At 39.9% G+C, this 26064-nt stretch overlaps 1 protein-coding gene across 3 annotated transcripts in view, besides 3 other annotated features; it reads left to right on the forward strand.

Annotated features, from left to right (window-relative positions):
- Positions 1-25459, forward strand: part of CDC42 (cell division cycle 42) — a 48652-nt gene extending 23193 nt beyond the window's left edge. For 2 of the 3 annotated variants that reach the window (NM_001039802.2, NM_001791.4), the window contains 5 exons: positions 2528-2682; positions 5821-5893; positions 10538-10647; positions 10768-10965; positions 15527-25459. In NM_001039802.2, the coding sequence (NP_001034891.1) occupies positions 2578-2682; positions 5821-5893; positions 10538-10647; positions 10768-10965; positions 15527-15616 (576 nt within the window). In that variant the 5' untranslated portion in view covers positions 2528-2577 and the 3' untranslated portion in view covers positions 15617-25459. Of the gene's footprint in view, positions 1-2527; positions 2683-5820; positions 5894-10537; positions 10648-10767; positions 10966-14041; positions 14907-15526 lie in introns of those variants that run through there. The other variant, NM_044472.3, reaches the window with a different exon arrangement.
- Positions 1954-2033: a silencer, noted in NCBI's record as "silent region_397". NCBI's record gives its function as "represses an Ori minimal core promoter by ATAC-STARR-seq in GM12878 lymphoblastoid cells {active_cell/tissue: GM12878}" and the evidence as "EXISTENCE:reporter gene assay evidence [ECO:0000049][PMID:35858748]".
- Positions 13310-13379: an enhancer, noted in NCBI's record as "active region_348". NCBI's record gives its function as "activates an Ori minimal core promoter by ATAC-STARR-seq in GM12878 lymphoblastoid cells {active_cell/tissue: GM12878}" and the evidence as "EXISTENCE:reporter gene assay evidence [ECO:0000049][PMID:35858748]".
- Positions 13915-14209: a silencer, noted in NCBI's record as "tiled region #8542; HepG2 Repressive non-DNase unmatched - State 19:H4K20". NCBI's record gives its function as "represses a minimal TATA promoter and a strong SV40 promoter by Sharpr-MPRA in HepG2 cells {active_cell/tissue: HepG2}" and the evidence as "EXISTENCE:reporter gene assay evidence [ECO:0000049][PMID:27701403]".

Raw genomic sequence — 26064 nt, forward strand, 5'->3', positions numbered from 1 at the left:
AAGATTTGTGGGTAAATAGAAAGGGGAAGAACAAACTCTTATCTTACTCCCTTCTCCCAATAAAATTCAGTAGTTATATGCAGGGTGAAAAACAGGAAATAAGCTTAGCCCCTATTTTTTGCTTCCTCTTCTTTATATTTGCTTTCCTCTTTGCATTGCTGGTAACTCACGGATATATACTTGTCATTCCACTAGCACTGATTATATTTGTTTTTATTAATGTCACTTCTCAGACAGTATAGTGTAATGTAATGTTTATCAAGAGCAGGGACTTGAGGTTGGGCACGGTGGCTCACACCTGTAATCCTAGCACTTTGAGGGGCCCAGGCAGTTGGATTACTTGAGGTCAGGAGTTCAAGACCAGCCTGGCCAACATGGTGAAACCCTGTCTCTATTAAATACAAACATTATCCAGGCGTGGTGGCATGCACCTGTAATCCCAGTTGCTCTGGAGGCTGAGGCAGGATAATCGCTTGAACCCGGGAGGCAGAGGTTGCAGTGAGCAGAGATCACGCCACTGCACTGACACATACACACACACACACACACAACAAGCAGGGACTTGAGAGTCAGACTGCTTGGGTTTAAATTACAGTTCTCCCAGTTACTGGCTGAATAGCCTTGGCTTAGTTACTTGCTGAGCCTCACTCTTCTTATCTGTAAAATAGGGATAATACAGCACATACTTCATAGGCTTTTTGGGAGGATGAAATGTGTGAATATGTGTAATATGTTTTGAACAGTACATAGCACTTAGTAAATGCTGTATGAGTGTTTGCTGCTTACTATTATTATTTGAGTGCTTTTAGATTTAACCAGTAATTGATTGATCTTAGGGATCAGGGTTGTTAATCTTTAATGCTGTATTAGTTAGTATGGGTGCTTCTTAGTGCATAAAAGGGAAAGGAGAAGGAAAAAGGAGATATAAAAGGAAGTTGAATAAAGAAGGATAAATATGGCTGGCTGCGGTGGCTCATGCATGTAATCCCAGCACTCTGGGACTTTGGGAGGCCGAGGTGAGTGGATTGCTTGAGTCCAGGAATTCAAGACCAGCCTGGGTAACAGTGAGACCCGTCTCTTAAAAAAACAAAAACCAAACAAAAACCCAGCCGGGCATGGTGGCATGCGTCTGTGGTTCCAGCTACTTGGGAGGCCAAGGTGGGAGGATTGCTTGAGTCTGGGAGGTGGAGGTTGCAGTGAGCTGAGGTTGTGCCACTGCACTCCAGCCTGGGTGACGGGAGTAAAACCCTGTCTAAAAAAAAGAAAAATATACTGCAGATAATTTTGATGAGGAGCGGGAGAGTGTATATTTCATGTGAGTTACTCACACTAATGTAGTTTCATGTTCTTTTGTTTCGTGATTTTTGCATCCAATCAACAACTCACAGTGTGTCAGTCTAGAAGTGCTCAGTGCTAGAAGTATAGTGGTGCATGAGGTAGTATAGGTTCATTTACAGGGATGTTAATAGGCATTTATAAATTGTTATGATTAATTGTTGTGAATGGTGCTATAGGAGCATGGTGGCATCTGACCAAGAGTTAGGTGGTTCTGTATTTTTATGTTTAATTATAACCCCTTTAGGATTATAATTTAAATTAATTTAAATATAAATCTTAAAATTTAGGTACATATTGGGTGGTGTTTCTTTTTATTCTTTCAGAAAACTGTTAAAGTATTTCATTGAATCTAAGATTCCAATTTCATAGAAGTCAAAATGTGGGGGAAAAATGGCTGATAATGATTCTAAGAGACTCAAAGATACATTCTGACTTTAGAGATGTTAACATGAAAAAAAGCATCTCAAATTAATGACTCTTTGGTACTTGTAATTGATAGCTTCTTAAAATGGAGGAGGACTCTAGTAAGAGAAGCTATAGTATCTGTTTATAAGTCAGTATGCTTTAGAGCAATCTGACTTTTTCATTATAAAAATGTAGGTTTTGGACTAGGCATTCTGGTGCTAAAACAGCTGCTGAGGCCAGCGATCACCCTGTTCTTTGTTCAGTTCCTCACGTTACTCATATAATTACCGTGTGATCGTGTGGTGCTCTGCTGCTTGTTGGTCAGAGCCTGAGTAAGGCTGAATAAGGCTGGATCATGAACCATTCTTTAAAGCAGTGGCCTTTGTATTGCAGTCTAGTTGACATACATGCATACATACAGGTGTGTGTGCACGTGTAACTGAAGAACAGCTTTCACAAAATAATATTTAGCACACTGTGGAATTTTCTCTGATACAGCCTCTTCTCTTTCATGATAAAAATAAATTCGCTGATTATCACACCACTTTGGACCTTTTAAAAATAACACTTAAGAAGTTGGAATAGCCAGGGATCAGAAACTTAGAAATGGACCTTATTTGTTATTGTAACTTATAGCAAGTCATTGTGTCTCTTATTGGGTTCTTTTAGCCATAATAATTGTGCTAGTTCTTTTCTTGCTCTGAGTGCCTGAACCTGTTGCTAAGTGAGGAAGAAAAATCCATATGTAAGTATAAATAAACAAATGTCTTTAATCTTTTTGCAGGTCATCATCAGATTTGAAATATTTAAAGTGGATACAAAACTATTTCAGCAATGCAGACAATTAAGTGTGTTGTTGTGGGCGATGGTGCTGTTGGTAAAACATGTCTCCTGATATCCTACACAACAAACAAATTTCCATCGGAATATGTACCGACTGTAAGTATAAAGGCTTCCTTCTGTTAGTAAAATGTTGTAAAATTTGATATCCTTTTGAAAACGCTTTCTCTATGTGTACTGAATTTTTTTCTGTTGTCTGCCTTTGTTTCCTGTTTTTAAAGATCTTGACTTCTCATGGGTAAATTATATACACTTTAAACAGCTGAAAAATCAGTGGAAAGTCAGAAGGGGTGACACAGGGTTTGCAAGAAGTGCTGGGAGGCAAAACTCCAGTAGACAAGATTCTAACGAGTGGTGGTCTCAATTTGGTGAAGTATGCCCTACATCTTGGAATGAGGTGACTTTTTTTTTTTTTTTTTTGATATTTTGGCCAATTATTGATCAGTACTTGGAGGTCTCCTGGGATACCATTTGAGGTCCTGTAACTTGAGAGAAAGTAGTATGTGTCTCCACTTTTCTTGTGGAGCTGTTCGCTTAGCAGTAATGGAGCTCCAAACTGGTTCTTAGGGGCAGAGAAGAGAAGACCTGTTATGTTTCGAGAACACCAACAGAGTCCTTTGGGGGTCACTCCCACAACTGTTCTTTTCTTTTTTTCTTTTTTTTTTTTTTTTTGAGATGGAGTCTCTATCGTCCATTCTATCTGGAGTGCAGTAGCGCGATCTCGGCTTGCTGCACCCTCCGCCTCCCGGGTTCAAGCAGTTCTCCTGCCTCAGCCTCCTGAGTAGCTGGGATTACAGGCGCCCGCCACCACGCCTTTCTAATTTTTGTATTTTTAGTAGAAACGGGGTTTTACCATGTTGGCCAGGCTGGTCTTGAACTCCTGACCTCAAATGATCCACCTGCCTCAGCCTCCCAAAGTGCTGGGATTACAGGCGTGAGCCACCATGCCTGGCCCCATAACTGTTTTTTAAATCAACTCTTTGGAATGGTAGAAGGAAGATGGGAATAACAAAAATATTGAAGTGAGAGAGAGACAAGAGTTAGAGTAACACTCATTTGTGAAAGGTAGTGAGACCCTGTCTCAAAAATAAGGAAAGTTTTTTTTTTGAAGGGGGGAGAATTTGAAGGTATTATTAAACACTAAAATCATATTGATATTTTGAATTGGCTCATTTGGAGACAAGATAAATGGAAGACGTTTTGAGGTTCAGTGGACTTACAGGGGACATTTAGAGGTACATGAATCTTGTTTCAGAGTGAGGACAGCTATCAGAATTTTTCTGTTTCAGTCTCCATTGAAGTTATTTACTTGTAAACATAATTTCTGAGTCTTTTATGACTTTGATCTTCTGGTGTTATATTTTAAGTGGGCTTGTGGGTGTTTTATATGTATGTTTGTGTTGTACATCTCTGGAAAAGTGATAGAGTGGAAGGAAGAGTAGTAGTAGAATAAAATTTTAAATGAACCGATTTAGGTAAATGAATGGACCATGAGGCACAAGTAATGTTCTCATGGTACCTGTTGAAGTTAATATGGAAATGGATTTGGTGTAGAATGCATTTAAGTTCCCATCTATGAGTTGGGGCTTGCCATTTCTAGAGTAATAGAAATTCAGAGCTGGATGGGACAATATATATTGTCTTACCCATCTCTTAATGGATGAGGGTACTCAGGCCCAATTTAGGGATGAGACTTAGAAGTCTAAGTTTAATTACTTAGCGTAATTACACTAGCATAAGTAGACTTTGGAATGGAAGCCAGCTTTTCTGATTCTTAGTCTAGTTTTGGATATGAACAATCTAGTAAAGGAGGGTTGTTTTTGAGTCTCTTAAGTGTGATTTAAGAAAATAATCTGTTTGGTTTGAGAGCTTAACCACATTCATTCAATTTCTTTGTTCCTGTTTTTAAGAACCGACTTTCCTTTAACTGTCATCTCCCTCATGCCCTTGCTTCTCTTCTTTACATTTAAATAAGCTCTGGAACAATCTGTTAAAACATAAGTCAGAAAATCAGAGTAGGTACCTAAAAGTTAAGTAGGGCTGGTCTTAAAATGTGGCATTCTTCTCCTAGTTGGAAAGCTTTGCTTTTCTTTTTATAGATATCATTTAATTTTAAAATTTTTACTGTAAATTGACAGATTATAGTTGTATATGAAAGCATTGCTTTTCAATTGTAAATTAATTCTAAAGACTCCAGAATTTGTGTTGGGTCTTTTCCCATTTAGCATTGTTAAACCTCCCATTTTCACAAATAACTTCGTACAACCGATATTAGCATATGCTTTACTGAATTTGATAAGGGTTTTATGGTCTATTTACATATTAAGCATCTTGTTAAAGAAGATGTCTTAGATCATGCAGTTTGTGCCCAATAACATGAATTTTACTCATAAAATTCCCAGCTGGCTGGGTGCAGTGGCTCACACCTGTAATTCCAGGACTTTGGGAGGCCGAGGCAGGTGGATCATGAGGTCAGGAGTTTGAGACCAGCCTGGCCAACATAGTGAAACTCTGTCTCTACTAAAAATACAAAAATTAGCTGGGTGTGGTGGCATGCACCTGTAGTCCCAGCTACTCAGGAGGCTGAGGTGGGAGAATCGCTTGATCCCAGGAGGCAGAGGTTGCAGTGAGCCGAGACCATGCCATTGCACTCCAGCCTGGATGACGCAGTGAGACTCTGTCTCAAAAAAAAACTTCCCAGCAAATAATCTGCCAGCTTTTTCTTGGACACTTTGAGTACTTTGAGGGAACCGTTATTTCTCTCAAATGGGCTTGTTTATAACAAGGCTCATCTTTTCTAGGACTCTGAAAGGAAGAAAGGTCATGGATCTAGGATATTTTATTTCTAGATGAAAAGGAAATGGTCTATGAAGAAGTAGTTTCTTAGGAATCAGATTGAATGTTGAGGTAGACCACTGTCTGAAAAGTTTCAAACTTGAACAGGTTCATTTTGTGTAGCTAGAGGACTCTGCTCCTGTGACACCTCTAAACCTTCTCTGGCTCTTTATCCAGGCTGCTGGGGTAGAGCAGAAATCTCAGAACACATCCTTTGTCTTTTTCCAGGAATCATTTAGCTCATGCAAGGACTGGTTGGCAAGATTGGTTATATAAGGATGATGGATGGACTAGGGGACGATTAAGTCTTAGCAAGGAAACACTGCCTTAGCTTAAGAGTTGTCCTGTCCCATTTTAACTCTCTCCTTGCACACTAACAGTGTTGTATTTTTTTGTTTTTAGGTTTTTGACAACTATGCAGTCACAGTTATGATTGGTGGAGAACCATATACTCTTGGACTTTTTGATACTGCAGGTGAAAACTTAATGTCTTTTATACTGTTTTGATCTTTAACAGTTGCTAGTTGTCTGTCTCTTGTGGACATTTTGAGAAACTAGCACATGAGCAAAGTACTTGCCTTTTGTTATTAGTTAGCAGGATTGAATATAATGATTGTCGATGCTTGACCAAGGAGCAGTCCCAGACCTGGGTCGGCAAATAGGAGTTTGGAGTACCCTGGGTGAACAGTGTAGTAGATGAAGTAGAGTGAGACTAGAGTGCATCATACAAGCTCCAAATTGAACTAAAATCCTGATGCGTGCACCTTGCAGAGAACTGGGGACTGCATTAGTGGTTGGGGAGGGACTAAGGGAATGAATTCATAGGAATCATGCCCACTGATTCTCTCCCTTCACCCCTACCTGCTCCTTTTTAAAGCCTAGAGTTTCCTAAATATGCCTAAGGTTATAAGGTCATAAGCCATTTACAGTATTTATTATTATTACTCTCTTGATATTTGAAGGCATATTCAATTTATGTGTCTAATAACATGTTTAGTTTCTTACGATAGATAGCTTATTTTAAACTGTATCTGAAAATATTTTGAGAGTGAACTATTATCTGCTCACAGTATTGACATTTGTCAGCTATCCAAATTGTAAGAACAAATTACTTTCTTCCTTAAATGTACCTAATTCCTCAGTGCTATTTCTTGTTTTCAAGAGTGGCTGCACATCTTAATTTCTGACTTTTCTCTATGTGCCGTCTTATTATCAGCTCAGTTAGCCAGAGGAAAATCTCAGAAAGATATCCTTTAGAGTATCTTTAGAATGTAGGAATTCTAAACTTTGTGCTTTGAGTTACTGTTACTGTTTGCAAGTTAACATGTTGCTTCCATGGAATGTGGTGTTACACTGTGTACCACGAGGAACTATTTGGATTTAATTGAGAACGTGAAATGGAGAGACAGTAAAGATTAGAGAAATTTTTAATACATTAAAATCATAAAAGTAATGGTATATTAAATTTGGAATATAGAGAAAACAATGACCCATAATGTCATGATAAATGAGGGGTTTTCTTCTGTGTTCATTTGTGTCCAAAGGCACAGAGAAAATTTTTATTTTTTTTTTTTGTTGAGATGGAGTTTTGCTGTTGTTGCCCAGGCTGGAGTGCAATGGTGCAATCTCGGCTCACCGCAACCTCCGCCTCCCAGGTTCAAGCGATTCTTCTGCCTCAGCCTTCTGAGTAGCTGGGATTACAGGCATGCGCCACCATACCCGGCTAATTTTTTTGTATTTTAGTAGAGGTAGGGTTTCTCCATGTTGGTCAGGCTGGTCTCGAACTTCTGACCTCAGGTGATCCGCCCGCCTTGGCCTCCCAAAGTGCTGGGATTACAGGTGTGAACCACTGCGCCTGGCGAGAAAAGATAATTTATGGCTACTTGTGGTTGAAAATTAGTATTTTCAGATTTCAAAGTTTATTATTTATAAGCCTTTACATTTTCTGGCGAGTACTTTTGAAAGCTTTTTTGATGCGTAGTGCAATAAAAATCATTTTAAGGCCAGGCGCGGTGGCTCACGCCTGTAATTGCAGCACTTTGGGAGGCTGAGACAGGCAGTTCACCTGAGGTCAGGAGTTTGAGACCAGCCTGGCCAGTATGGTGAAACCCCATCTCTACTAAAAATACAAAAATTAGCCCAGTGTAGTGGTGTATGCCTGTTAAGTCCCAGCTACTTGGGAGGCTGAGACAGGAAAATTGCTTGAACCCAGGGGGCGGAGGTTGCAGTGAGCCGAGATTCTGCCACTGCCCTCCAGCCTGGCTGACAGAGTGAGACTCCGTCTTTAAAAAAAAAAAAATCGTTTTAAGTGTTCAGTGTGATGCATTTTGCTGACCCTCCACCATAATAAAATGTGTAACATTTTTATCACCCCTCAAATTTTCTGTGGTGAGTTCTTTTACCACTGAATGGTGTTGGCACCCTTATCAAAAATTATTTGACCATATATGTGAGTGTTTATTTCTGGGTTCCCTTTGCAGTCAGCCCTGTCCCTTGACCTGGTTCCAGGCAACCACTGATCTGCTTTCTTTGTTTCTACTGTTTTGCTTTTCTAGGGTTTCATATAAATGGAACCATACAATATGTAGTCTTTTGTGTGACTATTTTTACATAGCATAATGTTTGTGAGAGTTGTCCATGTTGTGTGTATTGGTAGTTGTTTCTTTTGATTGCCGAGTGTTATTCTGTTCTATGAATATATCACAGTTTTGTTTATCCATTAACAAGTTGATGGATGTTTGGGTTCCAGTTTTAATACTGGTGCTATGAATTGCTTCCACGTTTTAGCTATTTTGAATAATGTTGCTATCAACATGGGTATACAGATACCTTGTTGACACCCTGCTTTCAGTTCTTTTGGGGTATATACCCAGAAGTGGAATTGTTGGATCATGTTTTTAATTTTTTTGAGGAACCTCCGTATTGTTTTCCACAGTGGCTGTCCCATTTTATATTCCTACCAACAGTACGTGGGGTTTGATATAGTCACATTCTTCTGTTCGACACTTATTTCCTGTTTTTTTTTTTTTTTTTTTTTTTTTAATTGTAGCCATCCTAATTAGTGTGAGGTGGTATCTAATTGTGGTTTTGATTTGTATTTCCTTAATGATTAGTGATGTTGAGCATCTTATGGCCATTTATATATCTTTGGAGAAAGGTCTGTTTAATCAAGTTCTTTGCCCATTTTTGAATTGGGATTTTTTTTTTGGGGTAAGTTTTAGGAGTTCTTTGTAGATTCCGGGTATTAATCTCTTATCACATACACGATTTGCATATATTTTTTCCTATTTTGTGGGTTGCGTTTTTATTCTGTTGATACTATTTTCTGATGTATAAAATTTTCACAGCTTCATGAAGTTTGTCTATTTTTTGGTGGTTTGGTGTGATATCCAAACAAATTATTGCCAAGTCCACCTGAATCTTTTGCCCTATGTTTTCTGGGAGTTTTAAAGTTTTAGGTCTAACATTTAGACCTTTTATCCATTTTGAGTTAATTTTAGTATATAGTATTAGGTAAGGTTTCATCTTTGTCTTTTGCTTGTGAATATGTCATTTTCTCAGCACCATTTATTGAAGAGTCCTTTTACCACTGAATGGTCTTGGCACCCTTATCAAAAATTATTTGAGCTAGGCTAGGCACGGTGGCTCACACCTGTAATCTTAGCACTTTGGGAGGCTGAGGTGGGCAGATCACCTGAGGTCAGAAGTTTAAGACCAGCCTGGCCAACATGGTGAAACCCTGTGTCTACTAAAAATACAAAAATTAGCCTGGTGCGGTGGTGTGTGCCTATAGTCCCAGCTACTCAGAAGGTGGAGGCAGGAGAGTCTCTTGAACTGGGGAGGTGGAGGTTGCAGTGAGCCGAGATTGTGCCACTGCACTCCAGCCTGGGTGATAGAGTGAGACTCTGTCTAAAAAAAAAAAAAAAAAAGAAAAATCATTTGCCCACATATGTAAGGGTTTATTTCTGGGTTCTCTAGTCTATTCCATTGTCTTATATATCTCCCTATGCCAATACCGCACTGTTTTGATTATTGTAGCCTTGTAGTAAGTTTTGAAATCAGGAAATGGGAGTGCTTCAGCTTTATTCTTTTTCAAGATTATTTTGTCTATTGTCCCTTGTTTCAAGATTACTATCCCTTGTTGGGATTTTGATAGGGATTGCATTGAGTCTGTAGGTTGCTTTGGATAATGTTGACATGTCAACAATATTAAGTCTTCCAGTTCATGAATGTGGGATGTGTTTCCATTTATTTATGTCTTCTTTAATTTCTTTCAGCAGTTTTGAATTTTTTTGTTATCCAAGTCTTTTGCCTCTGATTAAGTTAATTCTAAGTATTTTTATTATTTTGAGTATCGATTAATTCTTGCTAAATTTGTTTTCTAGGCTTTATCAGTTTCAGATACCGGTCTTATATACACGCATTAACTAAATATGTGAACCTCTGTTTGTAGTCATGATGGGCAGTGGATTTTGTCATCTGGGTTTCAGTGAGGTTTTTCTTTCCTTAGATGATTTCACTGTGATTGTTTCTTTACCATATCTGAGATGGAGTCTCACTCTGTCACCCAGACTGGAGTACAGTGATGCCATCTCGGCTCACTGCAACCTCCGCCTTCTGGGTTCACGTGATTCTTCTGCCTCAGCCTTCCAAGTAGCTGGGATTACAGATGTGCACCACCACACCCGGCTAATTTTTATATTTTTAGTAGAGATGAGGCTTCATCATGTTGGCCAGGCTGGTCTTGAACTCCTGACCTCAGGTGATCCGCCTGTCTCGGCCTCCCAAAGTGCTGGGATTACAAGGATTGATTTTTAACCATTTCTGTAGCAAGAGTTTATTATTACATTTATTATTGGGTTTCTAATGGACACAAAGATTGAACACCACAAACTGGTAATAAAAGCAAATAACATAATAGTAAATTCATTGCTGTTCTGAGTGCTTGAAGTTTGTAGAATTAGCTGATTGAGAATATTGCCCACATATTATATTACAAAGCCATACATTTTATTAGATAAGTAAGTTGCTTTTTGAGTAATGACCAGCATGCTTTTAACACTTTGAGGACACCAAGATTCAGTTGCTGAATTCTCTCCAATATTTTTCTTTTTTCTAGGGCAAGAGGATTATGACAGATTACGACCGCTGAGTTATCCACAAACAGATGTATTTCTAGTCTGTTTTTCAGTGGTCTCTCCATCTTCATTTGAAAACGTGAAAGAAAAGGTAAGCTGATCAGATACTCTTGCCCTAAGAAGATCATCTCAGAATTTCTACTGACCTGTTATAAATAGCATTAGAGGCTTGTTGATTAACAAAGGTGTATTTTAAAATACCTTTTTTTAGTGGGTGCCTGAGATAACTCACCACTGTCCAAAGACTCCTTTCTTGCTTGTTGGGACTCAAATTGATCTCAGAGATGACCCCTCTACTATTGAGAAACTTGCCAAGAACAAACAGAAGCCTATCACTCCAGAGACTGCTGAAAAGCTGGCCCGTGACCTGAAGGCTGTCAAGTATGTGGAGTGTTCTGCACTTACACAGGTAAGAATGGCATGAAACCCCATGTGTATTTATGGTCGAGTCATTTATTAGAGCATTAGGATACAGGAGTTATTTCTAACAGTGATCAGCAGTGCTCAAAGATGCCCAGCAAGAATATGAACAGCTTCATATTGTATGTTCTTTTGTTAGAGGCCTCTGTGTTTTTTGGAGAATATTATTAGTTCCTAAACCCCTTGTGTTGGTAAGCTCTCGTATTGTACTGAATGATTCGTAGTGGTCAGGGTTGTGTTAAAACAAAAACCTTACAGGAAAGGTTCAGATAAGCATAAACTTGCAAGAGACGATGTGAATGATTTTTTTTTTTTCTAAACACTTAAATTTTCATCTGAATATGTCTGATCTTTTCTTGCCAATTCTGACAATTGATACTATACTGTTTCTTGGGCAATTCAACCAGGATAGGGAATTAGTCATAATAATTGAGACTTTAATGTCAAAGAAGGCAGCCATGGCTATTTCTGCCACAGTTCTCAAGCGTGCTTTATATAGTGTCCCTATTCCTATATTTTTGGAAGTATTCCTTCCTCATGCATTCCGGCCGTTTTTGAGTGATTTAATTGGAACTCCTTTTGTAGTTTGATGGGAAACTCAGATTTTGAAGATAGGGAGCAATGTTAGGGTATTTGGAATGGGACTTGTAACTGATGTGTATGGTTTAAACTTTTTCACCTTCATGATATCGCTGATTCCGTCCTTTGAGTACTGTTCTGGGGGCAAAGGAAAAGGTTATGGAAATAATTAGCACAAAAGTTTTATGTTCTACTGGTACTGGTGCTTTGAAGTTTGAACACTGAGCAGACATGCCTAATAGGGCAAGATTGAAGGGTGGAGGTTTCTAATAATTATATTAAACTCATTATATTTATGCTTATGTTTTCAGGTAATTCATTCATTTTTATTGTGTTTCTAAAAAACACTATTGGATTCTTAACTACGTGTATACTAGGGTAAATGGCATATATGATTACTTATTACATATGCACTAGGTATTTAGTTTATAGGGCCTAGTGCATAATTTAATAGTAAGTTTAGTACTTGGTTGGATATTTACAGATAAAACTTTTATGCTTAACTGGGATATCCCTCAAAATAACTTCGAGGCCTAGTATCAGATGATTTAAACATAATCTTCTAATCCTCGTTTTTTTGGGCAGTTTAGTGCTATTATAGAAGCAGTTATTTAAAAGTTTAGAAGATTTTACACCTTCTCATGCATAGCAACTGTTTTGAGAGTTTTAAAAAATGCCTGGTGCTTCTCTGTGTGTTTTAGTAACATTCCCAGAAAAGTGTGCCTGTGTGTGTATATTGGGGGAGACAAGGGAAAGTCATGTGTGAAACACTCATGTCCATGTTAGACACTAATTCTGTGTGCTTCTGATGCATACCTCTGTTCTCTAGATATGGGTTGCTTTGAGGGAAGACACATAGGCCCTGTGGATTCACTTTTAGGTTACTAGTGATGCTTTAGATAATTGGATGCTTTTAATGTAAGATTTTTACAGTATCAACAGGTGTATATAGTAAATCCGTTTGTAGAGAGTATGAAGTTTAAAAGGTCTTAGCAGGTACATTTTTCTTACCAGAGTTTGAAGTATGGAGAAGTCAAAAGAGGGGAAGTTAGAAAATGGGGTCTGTGGTTGTGTTTGGGAGCTAGAACTTTGAGGCTTACAGATTCTGTTTGTTGATTCCTCTAAAACTAAAGTCTTAATATAAACAGATGGTGGTCAAGCAAAGATTAGTTTTGTTTCATAGAGCATTTGTTGATCTTCGTCCATGGTAAGCAAGAAAGGAATTCCTTCTTGTTAAGGGATACACTCCAGTTTCTAATAGTCCTCCTCCTCTTTTTTTCCTTATAAAGTATATTTCCCTTTCTGTACTCCTTCCTTCCTTTTATATTTTACTGCCAGAGTTGGTTCCTAGATGTGCAGAAAGAATTGCAGTGGAATTTTAACTTTTATGTGGCATTTCTACTTTGTAAATGATGTAGAAAGAGGAAGGCTTTTTAACTTTTGCTGCTTTTAAAGAATTTACTGCTGTTTCTGATTTATTTTGTGTCTAATGTGACATGTGGGTACCAGTCCTGTGGGATGTCATGGATGGGGGCAGGGTGGAGGTGGGAACACTTGGGGTGGTCTGGGGTTGGCACTTACAATTGGAGCTGTGTTCTGGGACTTTTAGGACATATTTACTTGGGATCAAACTGATCAAACTAAAGAACATGTGAAACAACCTTGGGTGGTAAACTTGTGGCTTCAGATTTAGGTGATTTTAGGTGAGTCTGTAGACCTGGGTCCTAAGTACCACCAATGCTGAGTCACACTGTCATGTTGGAGTTTCTGGCTGAGGTGTAAGTGTATTTCTGTATCTTAATCCCCGTAAGATCTGAGAATATTCTTCGTTTTCACTCCATGCTTTATGCTCTGATACCCATGCAGACATCTTAAAGCACTGGACTGCTTGCTAAAACTCATTCTAGGACCCCATTCTTTGTTTTCTTATGACTTGGGTGGTGGTTACTTGCTCTAATAACATTGCTGAATAACTGAAGTGTATGCTGTTTTTAGAGTCTGTTCTTTAAAGTCCTTCTAGTTGGTACTGTTGCACAATTAACACTTTTTAAATGTCTGAACCTTTCCGTTCTGGGAAACCAGTTTACTCTGAAATCTTGATTAATCACATTCAGATATGTCATTGAACCTAGAAACACATAGCATGCCTGTTAGTCTGCTATTTGTGTCCTTCAGTTATTCAGGGGCTGAATTCACATAAGCCTGAAATTGTAATAGATTTATTTCCAAAATGTGTTAGAAGTCAACATATTGCATTTTAATAAAAATTGCTTTCCTGCTCAGTTAACCTTGCTTGAGGTGAAGTTTTTGGTCAGTTATCTACTCTCCTGGTTATAATGGGCTTAAGATCTAGCATTCTAGCGTTTTTCTTAAGGCACATTGCTTCTGTGAATTCAGCTCATTTAATCCGGACTGCTGTTGTACCTGCTAGTCTTTCTAATCCTCTAACCTGGCTGCTATTCTCTCTCCTCCCCTCTGTCTTGTAGAGAGGTCTGAAGAATGTGTTTGATGAGGCTATCCTAGCTGCCCTCGAGCCTCCGGAAACTCAACCCAAAAGGAAGTGCTGTATATTCTAAACTGTTTTCTCCTTCCCTTCTTTGCTGCTGCTTCCTGTCCCACTACTGTAGAAAGATCGTTTAAAAACAAAGGAATAAAACCATCCTGTTTGAAAGCCTCTGCGTCTTTTTACTCACCACCTTAGAGCAACCTCTGTATTAGTTTTTGATCAAGAATGCAATATCATATAAATTTTTTGTGATCAGTAGTCAAGTTGGACTTGTTTTAACGTTCTGCTGCTTGAGTTGCCTGATGCTCAGAGCTTTTTGGTTTGGATTACTATTGCAAAAGGGAACTTGGTCTGGCTTTAAGAATGTCCTCTTGGAGAAAATAACAAGAGTTTTAACACTTCTAGATCTTAGTTCTAGATGGAGAAAGTAACACAAACATCATTTTACTCTTATGATCAATTGTTAATTGTAATTGCATGACAAACCTTATGGAAAAGGGGTGACCTAGTAGAGTGTAATGGGGAAGGGAGGATTCTTTTCTGGTTTTCCTTTGTGCGGTGAAACTTTGTGTTGCTGTTGCTTTGGCTGTCTGTGCTGTAGTGGAGTATTTGTCAGTCTGGGGTGGGGAAGATATTGATGTATCTGCTACTGCTTTATGAGTTCATTTGTTACATTATCTTTTAAGAATAACATCCATTTAAACAGTTGACTTACAGTTTGTTAATGCTGAGATGTAAAGCTGCCACCTTTATATTTTCCTGCTTCTGATTTTATTGTGAGGGAAATATACAATTGTGGTTACCTTCAAATTTTGAAATTAAAAATATACAACCGTTTGTATAAATGCCTGATGAAGCTTTATTCCTGTTGCACTGACTGGCTCTAATTTTACGTATGTATCAGGTACCCACATTTTTGCTCCCTTGAATCTCCTTGACTCTGTCTAACTGGTGGGATAAAGGGAGTTCAAAGTGACTATCTTTGCAGCTACCATAATCACCCTCTCTCTCTCTTTGCCTGTGCCTTCCATAGAATAAGGATGCCACTGACCCGTGCCCGTCCTCTCAGTCCTCTGTTTCATATCCAGCTGTTTCATTTGAATGCAGAGCTGCTTCCCTTGTTTTTATGTAAAATGTTTCAGCAGCACATTACAAAACTCATACTGAATGAGCAAATGACACATGTGCTTGTTTGCTTCTTGTGACATACATTGGTCTGCGCAAAGCTTTCTCAAAGGACCACTGTCTCACTCATGAATATCTGCTCCTCTGCTCCTGAATTGCTGAATCCTTCCAGTGCCCTGGACAAATCTTGGTGAAGTGAGATTATTGTGTTGAGATTCAGGGTTGTTTTTAATGTTTCTTTCTTTGCCAACTCTTGGGGGTTTGAATGTTTTAAATTTGAACTCCAACTTTATTATACTGAAAATCAGACCGCCCATTTTTTCTTTCTACCCCTTTTCAGAAAGGCCTAAAGAATGTATTTGACGAAGCAATATTGGCTGCCCTGGAGCCTCCAGAACCGAAGAAGAGCCGCAGGTGTGTGCTGCTATGAACATCTCTCCAGAGCCCTTTCTGCACAGCTGGTGTCGGCATCATACTAAAAGCAATGTTTAAATCAAACTAAAGATTAAAAATTAAAATTCGTTTTTGCAATAATGACAAATGCCCTGCACCTACCCACATGCACTCGTGTGAGACAAGGCCCATAGGTATGGCCCCCCCCTTCCCCCTCCCAGTACTAGTTAATTTTGAGTAATTGTATTGTCAGAAAAGTGATTAGTACTATTTTTTTTTGTTGTTTCAAAAAAAAAATTTTTGTGTGTGTGTGTTTTTTTTTTTTTTTTTTTTGTTGTTTAAAAGCAAGGCATGCTTGTGGATGACTCTGTAACAGACTAATTGGAATTGTTGAAGCTGCTCCCTGGTTCCACTCTGGAGAGTAATCTGGGACATCTTAGTGTTTTGTTTTGTTTTTTTCCCTCCTCTTTTTTTTGGGGGGGAGTGTGTGTGGGGTTTGTTTTTTAGTCTTGTTTTTTTAATTCATTAACCAGTGGTTAGCCCTTAAGGGGAGGAGGACGGATTGATTCCACATTCCACTTCCTAGATCTAGTTTAGAAAACATGTTCCCCATCTGGTGCTCTTAGGAAGGAGTATAGTAAATGCCTCATTTAATAACATACTCCTTTTTGAAAGTTGCCTTTTCTCTCCACCCTTGAGTAGATCCAGTATTTGATGAAACTCATGAAAGTGGGTGGAGCCCATCTTGCCCCTCCTCTTTTCTAGGACGCACTATATGTGACTGTGACTTTCAAGGACATTTGTTTGCCATTTGCTGATTTTTTTGGGAAGTTAATTTCTAACTTCTTTCACTGATAAATGAAGAAAAGTATTGCACCTTTGAAATGCACCAAATGAATTGAGTTTGTAATTAAAAAAATTTTTTTCCCTTTCAGTCATTGTCTTATATGCTTAGCATAGATTTGCAGCTCAGTAGTATATGGTGTTCCTAGAATGCAGCTGAAGACCTGTTATGTAGAGGAAATACGAGGGGTGGTGCTAGAAGACAGACATCTGTGGAATGATTCACATCCTCTCAAGTTAGGAGGATGGAGGCCTGCTTCATTAAGAAGCTGGGGGTAGGGTGGGGGTGGGGAGAACACTTAACAACATGGGGACCAGTCAGGGGAATCCCCTTATTTCTGTTTTGCATATGAGGAACCCTAGAGCAGCCAGGTGAGGCTCTCTAGTTTAATAAAAATCATGGAAAGACTCTTAATGCAGACTCTTCTTAAGTGTTAATAGGGATTTTTTCAGCTTATTTTGGTTGCAGTTTCCAATTTTTAAAAATGTTGAGGTAATCTTTCCCACCTTCCCAAACCTAATTCTTGTAGATGCATTAGTGTTGAACCAATGCTTTCTCATGTCTCAATTCTTTGTATATGCATTCTTTTCAGATGTATTAAACAAACAAAAACCCTTCACAAGCCAGCCTGAGGGTTGTTATTTTCCCTCCGTCTCTTACTTTTCAGATATTGAGGAGTGGGAATTTGACTCTTGATAACATCAATTTCTAACAAACTTTGGGATAAAATTTTAAAGCTTTATTATTTTTATTTTCTGGCATTTTAGTTTGAGATAATATTTAGCCCTCTATATGTTCAGGTTTGTGCTTTCTCCTCTAAGTTTGACCCTTCCCTTAAATACCAAGTAGGTCCATAATAATTCTTAGTGAAGCAGTGTTCAGGAAGCTCACTGCTCATGGTGGAAGGAAATGTCAGTGTACCTTTAATCCATAGATCATTGAAAAGCAGCTCATTTTCCCCCAAGTTTTCTGCATCAGTGGTTCTCCAACTGGAGTGCAGCTTGAACAATGTGATTTTTAAGTTTTCCAGGCATTTCTAAAATGTAGCCAAGTTTGGGAATCACCACACCTAGTTGGTTATCTCAAACTACTACTATCAGAATACAGGTTCTGTGCTGCGAATCTGAATATGGGATACATTTTCTTTAGGTAGCAAGAAAGGTTTATTTACCTTTAGGACATTATACTGATCTGCATGAGAATCTTAGAAACTAAGAACCCTTAAAATCAGTTAAGGTTGGTACACTGTGGCCTCATTTTGATAGTTCTCTGCATGGAGTCATGTTTGGCATGATTTGCATACTGTGCTAGAATTAAGCTGGGTTGGTTGAGAAGGGGTTAGGAAGAGGCAGATGTAAGCTTTAACAGTTCTAACCAAGAAATGCATCTTATTTATTCCTTGTTGACTATACTAGGGAGAGATACCTGGATCATGTGATACCCTGGAAAGCAGGGACATATGTATCCTTAGTGTAGTCAGGGGCGTATAGGTCCTTGACTATTGCTATATCTTTGTCCTAAAGCAATGCTTGACATGATATGGCTCTAGAAGTAGTCATTGGATGGGTATATTATTTTATAAATGAGTAAGTGAAATAAAGCAGGTCATACAGTTGTGTCAACGAATTATCCGTGTATCAGAAGAACAAGGATGATGGGGATTGATTGAAGCTAATGTTTTCTTAAATATTTTCAGATTGATTTCTGCATGTCAGAAGAACTTGGGTAGCAAGTGGATGCAGCTTAGGTTTTCCATTTAAATATTGTTTTCTATTTGACGTAACAAACTTGCTTATAGTCGTGGCTTAGAAGGTGAGTGATATTCTCCAGGGAGTATGATTTAGAGGCTGGAAAGGGTTATTGAAAATAGTCCTTACAGGCTTAGTTTGTGTCAGAATTTATAGTATTTAATACGATGTTAATATATTATTGCTATTTATAAGTGTTTTACTGAACATCCTAGAAATAGATTTTTTTTTTTTTTTTTTTTTGAGACGGAGTCTCGCTCTGTCGCCCAGGCTGGAGTGCAGTGGCGCGATCTCGGCTCACTGCAAGCTCCGCCTCCCGGGTTCACGCCATTCTCCTGCCTCAGCCTCCCGAGTAGCTGGGACTACCGGCGCCCGCTACCACGCCCGGCTAATTTTTTGTATTTTTAGTAGAGACGGGGTTTCACCGTGTTAGCCAGAATGGTCTCGATCTCCTGACCTCGTGATCCGCCCGCCTCGGCCTCCCAAAGTGCTGGGATTACAGGCGTGAGCCACCGCGCCCGGCCAGAAATAGATTTTATAGTTAAAGCGATGTTCTTCAAGCTGGACTTTATGCCACAAGGGGAGTGTATTCTAAAGGGGAAGAAAAGGATTGTGGTTTAAAAGAACAATTGTAATATTTCCTTCATTCTGAGGTGTATTTTTCTCACATTTTCATATTGTAATTAGGATACCTGTTAACATTGGTGTACATTTAATGTAGTAGTACTTTTTCTCCTTTTGCCCTGCAAGTTGTCACTAAATTTGTGCTATCATAATTGTTACCTTCATAGAATGCTTAAATAGTGGTACTTCTTTGACTTGTTAGGTTTGGACTATTTTCCTTTTCTTCTTCCATTTGTGAGGTAAATTAGTGGTTATTTTGGTGCTGGGTGCTAAGAAACTCGCAAAACAAGGGCCCTGCTCAAGAAGGATTGAAACTTAGTCCTTGCTGGGTACAAATTTAGAAATTTGTTATATAACTGTGGGGCAAGGGACAACATTTCACCAGGAAGTAGCAACTCCATCATCTTTCAGGAAGGGCTGATGGTTAGGGCATCTCTGAATGATTATTGGAGGGAAGTGGCTTTATGTCACACTTGTTTTCTGTAAGTCTTACTCTGTATCTACCCGACTTCAGATCATGGTGATTTAATTACATGGCCCAATCATGTTTTCTTTCCAGGGCTGCTTGAATGCTTGAATACTTTTTTTTTTGAGATGGAGTCTCGTTCTGTCGCCCAGGCTGGAGTGCAGTGGTGCAATCTCGGCTCATTGCAAGCTCCGCCTCCCGGGTTCACACCATTCTCCTGCCTCAGCCTCCCGAGTAGCCAGGACTACAGGCATGTGCCACCATGCCTGGCTAATGTTTTGTATTTTTAGTAGAGATAGGGTTTCACCATGTTAGCCAGGATGGTCTCGATCTCCTGACCTCGTGATCCGCCCGCCTTGGCCTCCCAAAGTGCTAGGATTACAGGCGTGAGCCACCGCGCCTGGCCAGAATGAATACTTTTAATTACTACTATGAGTCTTTTTTCAAAGTGCCTCCACCTTAAAAAAAATTCCTTATTTTATTCACTTGCCAGAATAATGTTGCATTTGAACCATGCCAACGGTAGCTTATTAAAACAGCATTTATTTTTCTCATTCATGGGTCAGCTGAACTTGTCTCTAGCCTTCAGATTGGGCTCAGGTGGGCTTTGTGTTTGTCATTCTGGAGCCTAGTTCCAGAGAGCAGTGGCTGCTTGAGTGTGGACTTGCTTATGGTGGGCCAAAGAGGGGCAAGGGAAAGCGCATTTACACTTTCTCGTATTCCATTGCCCAGAGATGGCATATAGCCGATCCCAAGTCAGTGCTATTCATTCATTTTTTTAAAAAAATTTATTTATTTATTTATTTATTTATTTTCAGACGGGGTCTTGCACTGTTGCCCGGGCTGGAGTGCAGTGGTGGCATCTCCGCTCACTGCAACCTCCACCTCCCAGGTTCACATGATTCTCCTGCCTCAGCCTCCTGAGTAGCTGGGATTACAGGTGTCTGCCACTGCGCCCGGCTAATTTTTTGTATTTTTAAGGGAGACTGGGTGTCACTATGTTGGCCAGACAGATCTCAAACTCCTGACCTCCTGATCCGCCCTCCTCAGCCTCCCAAAGTGCTGGGATTATAGGCATGAGTCACTGCGCCCGGCCTATTCATTCATTCTTACAGTGAATTAGTAAATTCAACAAATAGGTTTTTTTAAAGCAATTAAGGCACTGAGGATATACAGAGAGTAAAATAGATGTCTCCTGACTTCTACTTGGAATTTTCTTTCCCTTACAGTTTTGATAGCTGCTTTCTCTTGAATAACTATGTCATCTCTTTCCACTTTGCATTGCTCCCAAGAGAGTAATGTAAAAGTTTTATCTGTGCATGCATATTCATGACACATTCATTTGTCATTATTTATCAAAAACCTGTTCCCTTCCCTGGCACTGGAGACATTGGAGAATGACAGTCTCAAGCAGTGCAGAGATGTAAGCAGGCAGAGGTAAGGACTTTGGTCTCAATAGCCTACAGGGTGCTTCATCCACTCACTGTATTCTGTGTGCCTGTGCCGCGGTGCAGGTGGTCAGTTGGAACCCCTGATGGGTATCTGGGCCACTGCCCAGGCCACACAGAGCCTTTGTGCAAATTAGAAAAGGCCCTTCCAAAGATACTTTATGAACGACTTGTAATAATTTAGTGATTTTATTTTCCAAAGCAAGGCATTTGGTTGCTACCTGCTAGAACTGTTACAGTAAATACACAGATCTATTTTGTGAGCAAATAGTACTGCCTTGGATGTGGTACCCTTGTGCAGTGCACAACTTGGACAGTTCATACACAATGTTGTATTGAGATGATTGTTATTCTACATTGTATTTATTTAGATAGTGGGATTGAAAATAGGCTAAGATGGAGAACTGGGTGGGGAACAATTTGTAATCCTTTTTAGTTCATATGTCACAATCACAGAATTGAGACTAGCTAGTTTAAATCCCTGCATCTTGCACATGGTGAGGAAAGGTGAGGACATTTAGATGACCTTTGCCTGTCACCACACAGCTGTATGGTAGCAGAGCTGGGCGTGAAACCTGCATTCCTGGCCTCTCCTTTTGTGGTGCTTACAGTGCTGTGTTAGGTCCAGTTTTACCTCTTAAATCTGTATTATTACTTTTTTTTCGAGACCAGATCTTACTCTGTCGCCCAGGCTGGAGTGCAGTGGCGTGATCTCGGCTTGCTGCAATCTCTGCAATTCTCATGCCTCAGCCTCCCAAGTAGCTGGGACTACAGGCGTGAGCCACCGTGCCTGGCTAATTTTTGTATTTTTAGTAGAGATGGGGTTTCACCATGTTGGCCAGGCTGGTCTTGAACTCCTGACCTCAGGTGATCCGCCCGTTGCGGCCTCCCTAAGTGCTGGGATTATAGGCGTGAGCCACTGCGCCCGGCCTGAAATGTGTATTCTTAAGTCCGCCTTTCAAAGTTGAGTACTGCATTCTTGCGGCTCTACCTAAGTTTCTCCTAGAATCTCCCTGCACTTCTTGTTTTGCTGCCATCAGGTAATTTGTGCATTAGAACTAGCTTGGAACAGAATGGGTAAACTTCTGTGAAGTTAGACACTTGCCTCTTAGAGGCATATCCAGTGAGTCTTTAAAGCCCTACGTTATAGAAAAATGTGAAGTATGTCTAATAAAGGAGTACAGTGGAAGGTTTAAAAGCACATTGCTGATTAGTGGGGTCAGGATGGGAGGAGAGCCCTGATTTTAATGCAGTGTCATAGTCTCATAGGTGATTTCCCCAAAAGCAAATAAATGCTCGATGGATTTTGGGTCCACCATGCATCTCTGAAGTAGAAGTGACAGATTTTCAAGGCTAAGGTAAGTATAGCATTTTCTCAACCCTATTACAATAGAGCACAGGATCATAACTGTTCTGTTTGCTCTGATGCGTCCCGCAGAGCAGTGCTTTTTCTCGGTGTGAACTGTGGATCACTTGTCTCAGTCATCAGGATTCCTGGACCCTGTAGGATTTACTCTCAATCTTTAGGGGTAGAGACTAGGAGCCTACATTTTGAACAAGCATCTTTTTATTTTGATGAAGTTTGCATTATTACTCCTAACAACGTGCCCTTTGGCAGGTAGCTTCCACTTTTCTGGCCTCATTATCTGTAAAATTGCATACTTAGTTATCATTGAGGTCTCAAATGCAGTTCGGGTTCCTGGTTGGTGAACAATTAGATGGGAAGGCTGAAAAAAAAAATACTCCTGAGATTCTGAATCTGTAAGTATGCAATGGGACCTGAGAATCAATCTAATTTCTAAAAGATTCCCAGATAGAACTTTGTTGAGCTATGTTTAGGGACCAGTGCACACCTTGGTGATAGAACCTTTTTGAAACTTTGAAAAAGTTAAAAGGGTTCTGTGTAATGTTACCTAAGAAGCTTATTTTTAAAAAAGGAAAGCAGTGCTTAGGGCCATATTGTTTTGAAATAGGATCTGAGCACCATTTAAATTTTTATAAATTATTTTTTAGAGGCATCACTTCTTTAAAGCCCATCAGATTAATGTGCCATTGGTTTGAAAACCATGACATGAGATGATTTCTTAAGGTTTTATTTGTGTCAGACATGAATTTTAGAGTATTTCTGGGCTATAGGTCATTACAGCTTTACTTATTTATTTTTTGGAGACAGGGTCTCACTCTGTCACCCAGGCTGGAGTGCAGTGTCGTGGTCTTGGGTCACTGCATCCTTGACCTCCCCAGCTCAAGCGATCCTCCCGCCTCAGCCTCCCGAGTAGAAGGTACTACAGGTGTGTGACACCACGCCTGGCTCATTTTTGCATTTTGTGTAGAGAGGGGGTTTTGCCATTTTACCCAGGCTGGTCTCGAACTCCTGAGCTGATCCTCCCACCTCGGCCTCCCAACGTGCTGGGATTACAGGCATTAGCCACTGTGCCCAGCTGGGTATGGATTTCTGAGTGGAGGGAATGTGAACAAAGGAGGGCCCAGGCATGTTTGCAGAGTGGCTGGGGGCCCTGCTTCACCACGGCATAGGGACGGGTGCAGTAGGAAGAAAGGTAGCCTCAAGGCCCCCATAAATAAATTGGTGCATTAAGGAAGGAATATTAATCACATCCAGGAGGGCTCTGCCCTAACTGCTGAGAATCATAAAAGAAATGGGGACATATTCTGGCGAAATAACAGCTTTGTTAATTGAGCTCTTACTGTGTGCCTTTGCACTGTGTTAAGCACATGGTGTTATCACACTTGCTACTCACAACAGCTCTGAGGTTGATAGTACAGGTATCTTCTTTTTATGGAGCAGGACTCTGAGACATCATAATTGCTTGGTATATGCAGCCAGAGTTGGAAATCCTATCTGTCTGATTTTGGAAACTGTGTGCTTACCATTACATATCTTATGTGGAAATAAAATGTATATGATTAATTACAAAGCTGAAAATCGTAGTTGAAGCATCATATAGTGCACAGGGCAAGCAAAGCAGCATAAAAGGCTTCATCTGTAAGGGTAGGTTTGTTGGGTAGGAGCTTTTTGGGGGAGGTGACTTTAGGATCAGTTGTAGCATGAGAGAATATGACACCTTCTTCCTTTAGAGGATCTAAAGGTGTAGCTTTAGAGGATTGTAGGGTGCCTTTGCCCATTGTGTCATTTGGTCCTTCTTAAAATTTGAGTGTTTATTCTCTACATGGCACTCTTTTAAGCCTTTGTGTGAATTAACTCAGTCTTCTCAGCAATCCCCCATTTTTTCATATGTGGAAACTGAGGCATGTTATGATACAAAGCTTGTCCAAGAATTCAGAGCTAGCTTGTCCAAGAATTCAGAGCTAGTAAGTGAGGGAACTGGGATTTGAATTTAAGCAGTCTGTCTCTAGAGTCTGCTCAGCTGGCCTTTTTTTCTTTCTTCTTCTTCTTCTTCTTTTTTTTTTTTTTTGTATAATAGGCCTGTGAGTTGGGAAGAGCAGGGTTTGTTTGGTGAGAAAGTTGCACCTTAGTGAATACCCAAGGTCTGAGGGAGGCTTGGAGCCAGCTCTGCAACCTGGCTCCCTTCTTTCATTAGCTTGACCCAAGCACAGGGAGATGACTGGGGCTCTGCCTTCATCTTCTCTGCAAACGGTCAGGGATACTCATGCAGTTTTTGAGTTTAAGTAGTAAACTCCTAAACTTCAAGTCATGTTTGTATTAGTGATTTCACTTGACCTCAGTACAACTCTGTAAAAGAGGCAGGGATGGATGATGTCATTTGTCAAATGGTAAAACTGAGGCGAAACAACTTGGCATTGTTGGTGTTGTGCGAAGTACATGCATAGGCTTTGGATTTGAGTTTGGCTCTGCCACTAACTTGATCTATGTCTTCAGGCAAGTAACTTAAATGCTCTGAGTGTTGCATTCTCTGTGAAGTGGAAATAGCTGTACTTTGCCCAAGAGTTGTGAGAGTGACATGAATTGCTATATGTGAGGTTCTTAGCATAGTGCCTGGCAAGTAGAAGGTACTCATCTGTGAATGGGGTAGATAGCAGCTGTCTTCATCACTGTCATCATTGTTGGCTCACATCAAATCAGGACCAGAAAACCCTGTTGACTTCTGGGTCTTAAACTGCTGTATCAGTGAGGGGCTTCCTCCTCATACTCATTGCCAGGAGTAGAGTAAGGCTTTTAATTTCATCTCTAACCAACTCTGATAGGGCTGGAAATGTGTATGGAGTTCCAGACCCACCATGGGGCCCCAGTGCTAGCTTCTTAGCCCTCCTTTGTAAGGTTTGCACTAGTTTGATGGGAGAGGGATTTTTTTTGTCTTGATTCTGAAGCTCTTAAAGAAATGCTCCTTTTTCTCCATAACTTGAGGATTTCACAATTGTATTGGAATTATTGGTGTTAAGGAGTTAGGTCCATCTCTTGGCAGCTTGTGAAGGGTGGGCAGGCACCTGTGAATTCTTCACTGGCTTCTTGTAAGAATGACTTTACTGGAGGGTGCTGAGTTTGTGATTATCTCCTCTGCTGCTAGAAAACTCCGTGAACCCTGGTACATATAGCGTGATAAATCAAGTCCTGTTTTTGCTCCTAACTTGCATTATGGTGTTTGATACTATATCTTCATTTCTCCCATGGTAGTAATAACACTGTTGGAAAGAGCTCTCAGTTGGAAGTTGAAGATCCAGGTTCTAGTTGAGGCACCAGAGTTTCCTTGGGCAAGTTGCCATACCTTTTTGGGCCTTGGTTTCCTCATCTCAATAAAATGAGTTTCTGTTCCTTTTTGGTTTGTGTCTTTTTTTCAGTAGGCCTTCTTTTTCATAAACAAAAGCTTATATAGAGCCCCACTGTAGAAACAGAAAAGGTGTATGAAACAGAGTTGCTGTAGTTAATGCAGGCCCAGCAGCTTTACTCTTCCCACTGCCTCCTTGTTGCAAACAGAGATAAACTTTGTGCAGCCCTAGTAACCTCTAAGGTGTTGCCAAGGGATTTGAACACGACTGGTGCAGGTTCATTTCTGTAGCCTCTTAAGTTTCAGGATTTTTTGCTAGCTATTGACAGGTAGTTAACAAAAATCTATAAAACCTGTATACTAAATATACAAGTAGACTAGTGAGTCTTCAAGAATTTTGTGATTATTATCCCTATATGGAGAATCTTTTTAGATTTTTACTGATATAGTTGAGAGATTCTAAGTTTGGTTCAGTCTGTAGTTTTAAAAAAAATGTATAGCAGTAACCAGTAAAGACCGAGTTGGTTTTTGTTTATAGGATAAATACGGCTGCTTTTTTTTTTTGAGACGAAGTTCCGCTCTTGTTGCCCAGGCTGGAGTGCAATGGCGTGATCTTGGCTCACTGCAACTTCCACCTCGAAGGTTCAAGCAG

The sequence above is a fragment of the Homo sapiens genome, chromosome 1, assembly GCF_000001405.40.
Source record: "Homo sapiens chromosome 1, GRCh38.p14 Primary Assembly".
Lineage (NCBI taxonomy): Eukaryota > Metazoa > Chordata > Mammalia > Primates > Hominidae > Homo > Homo sapiens.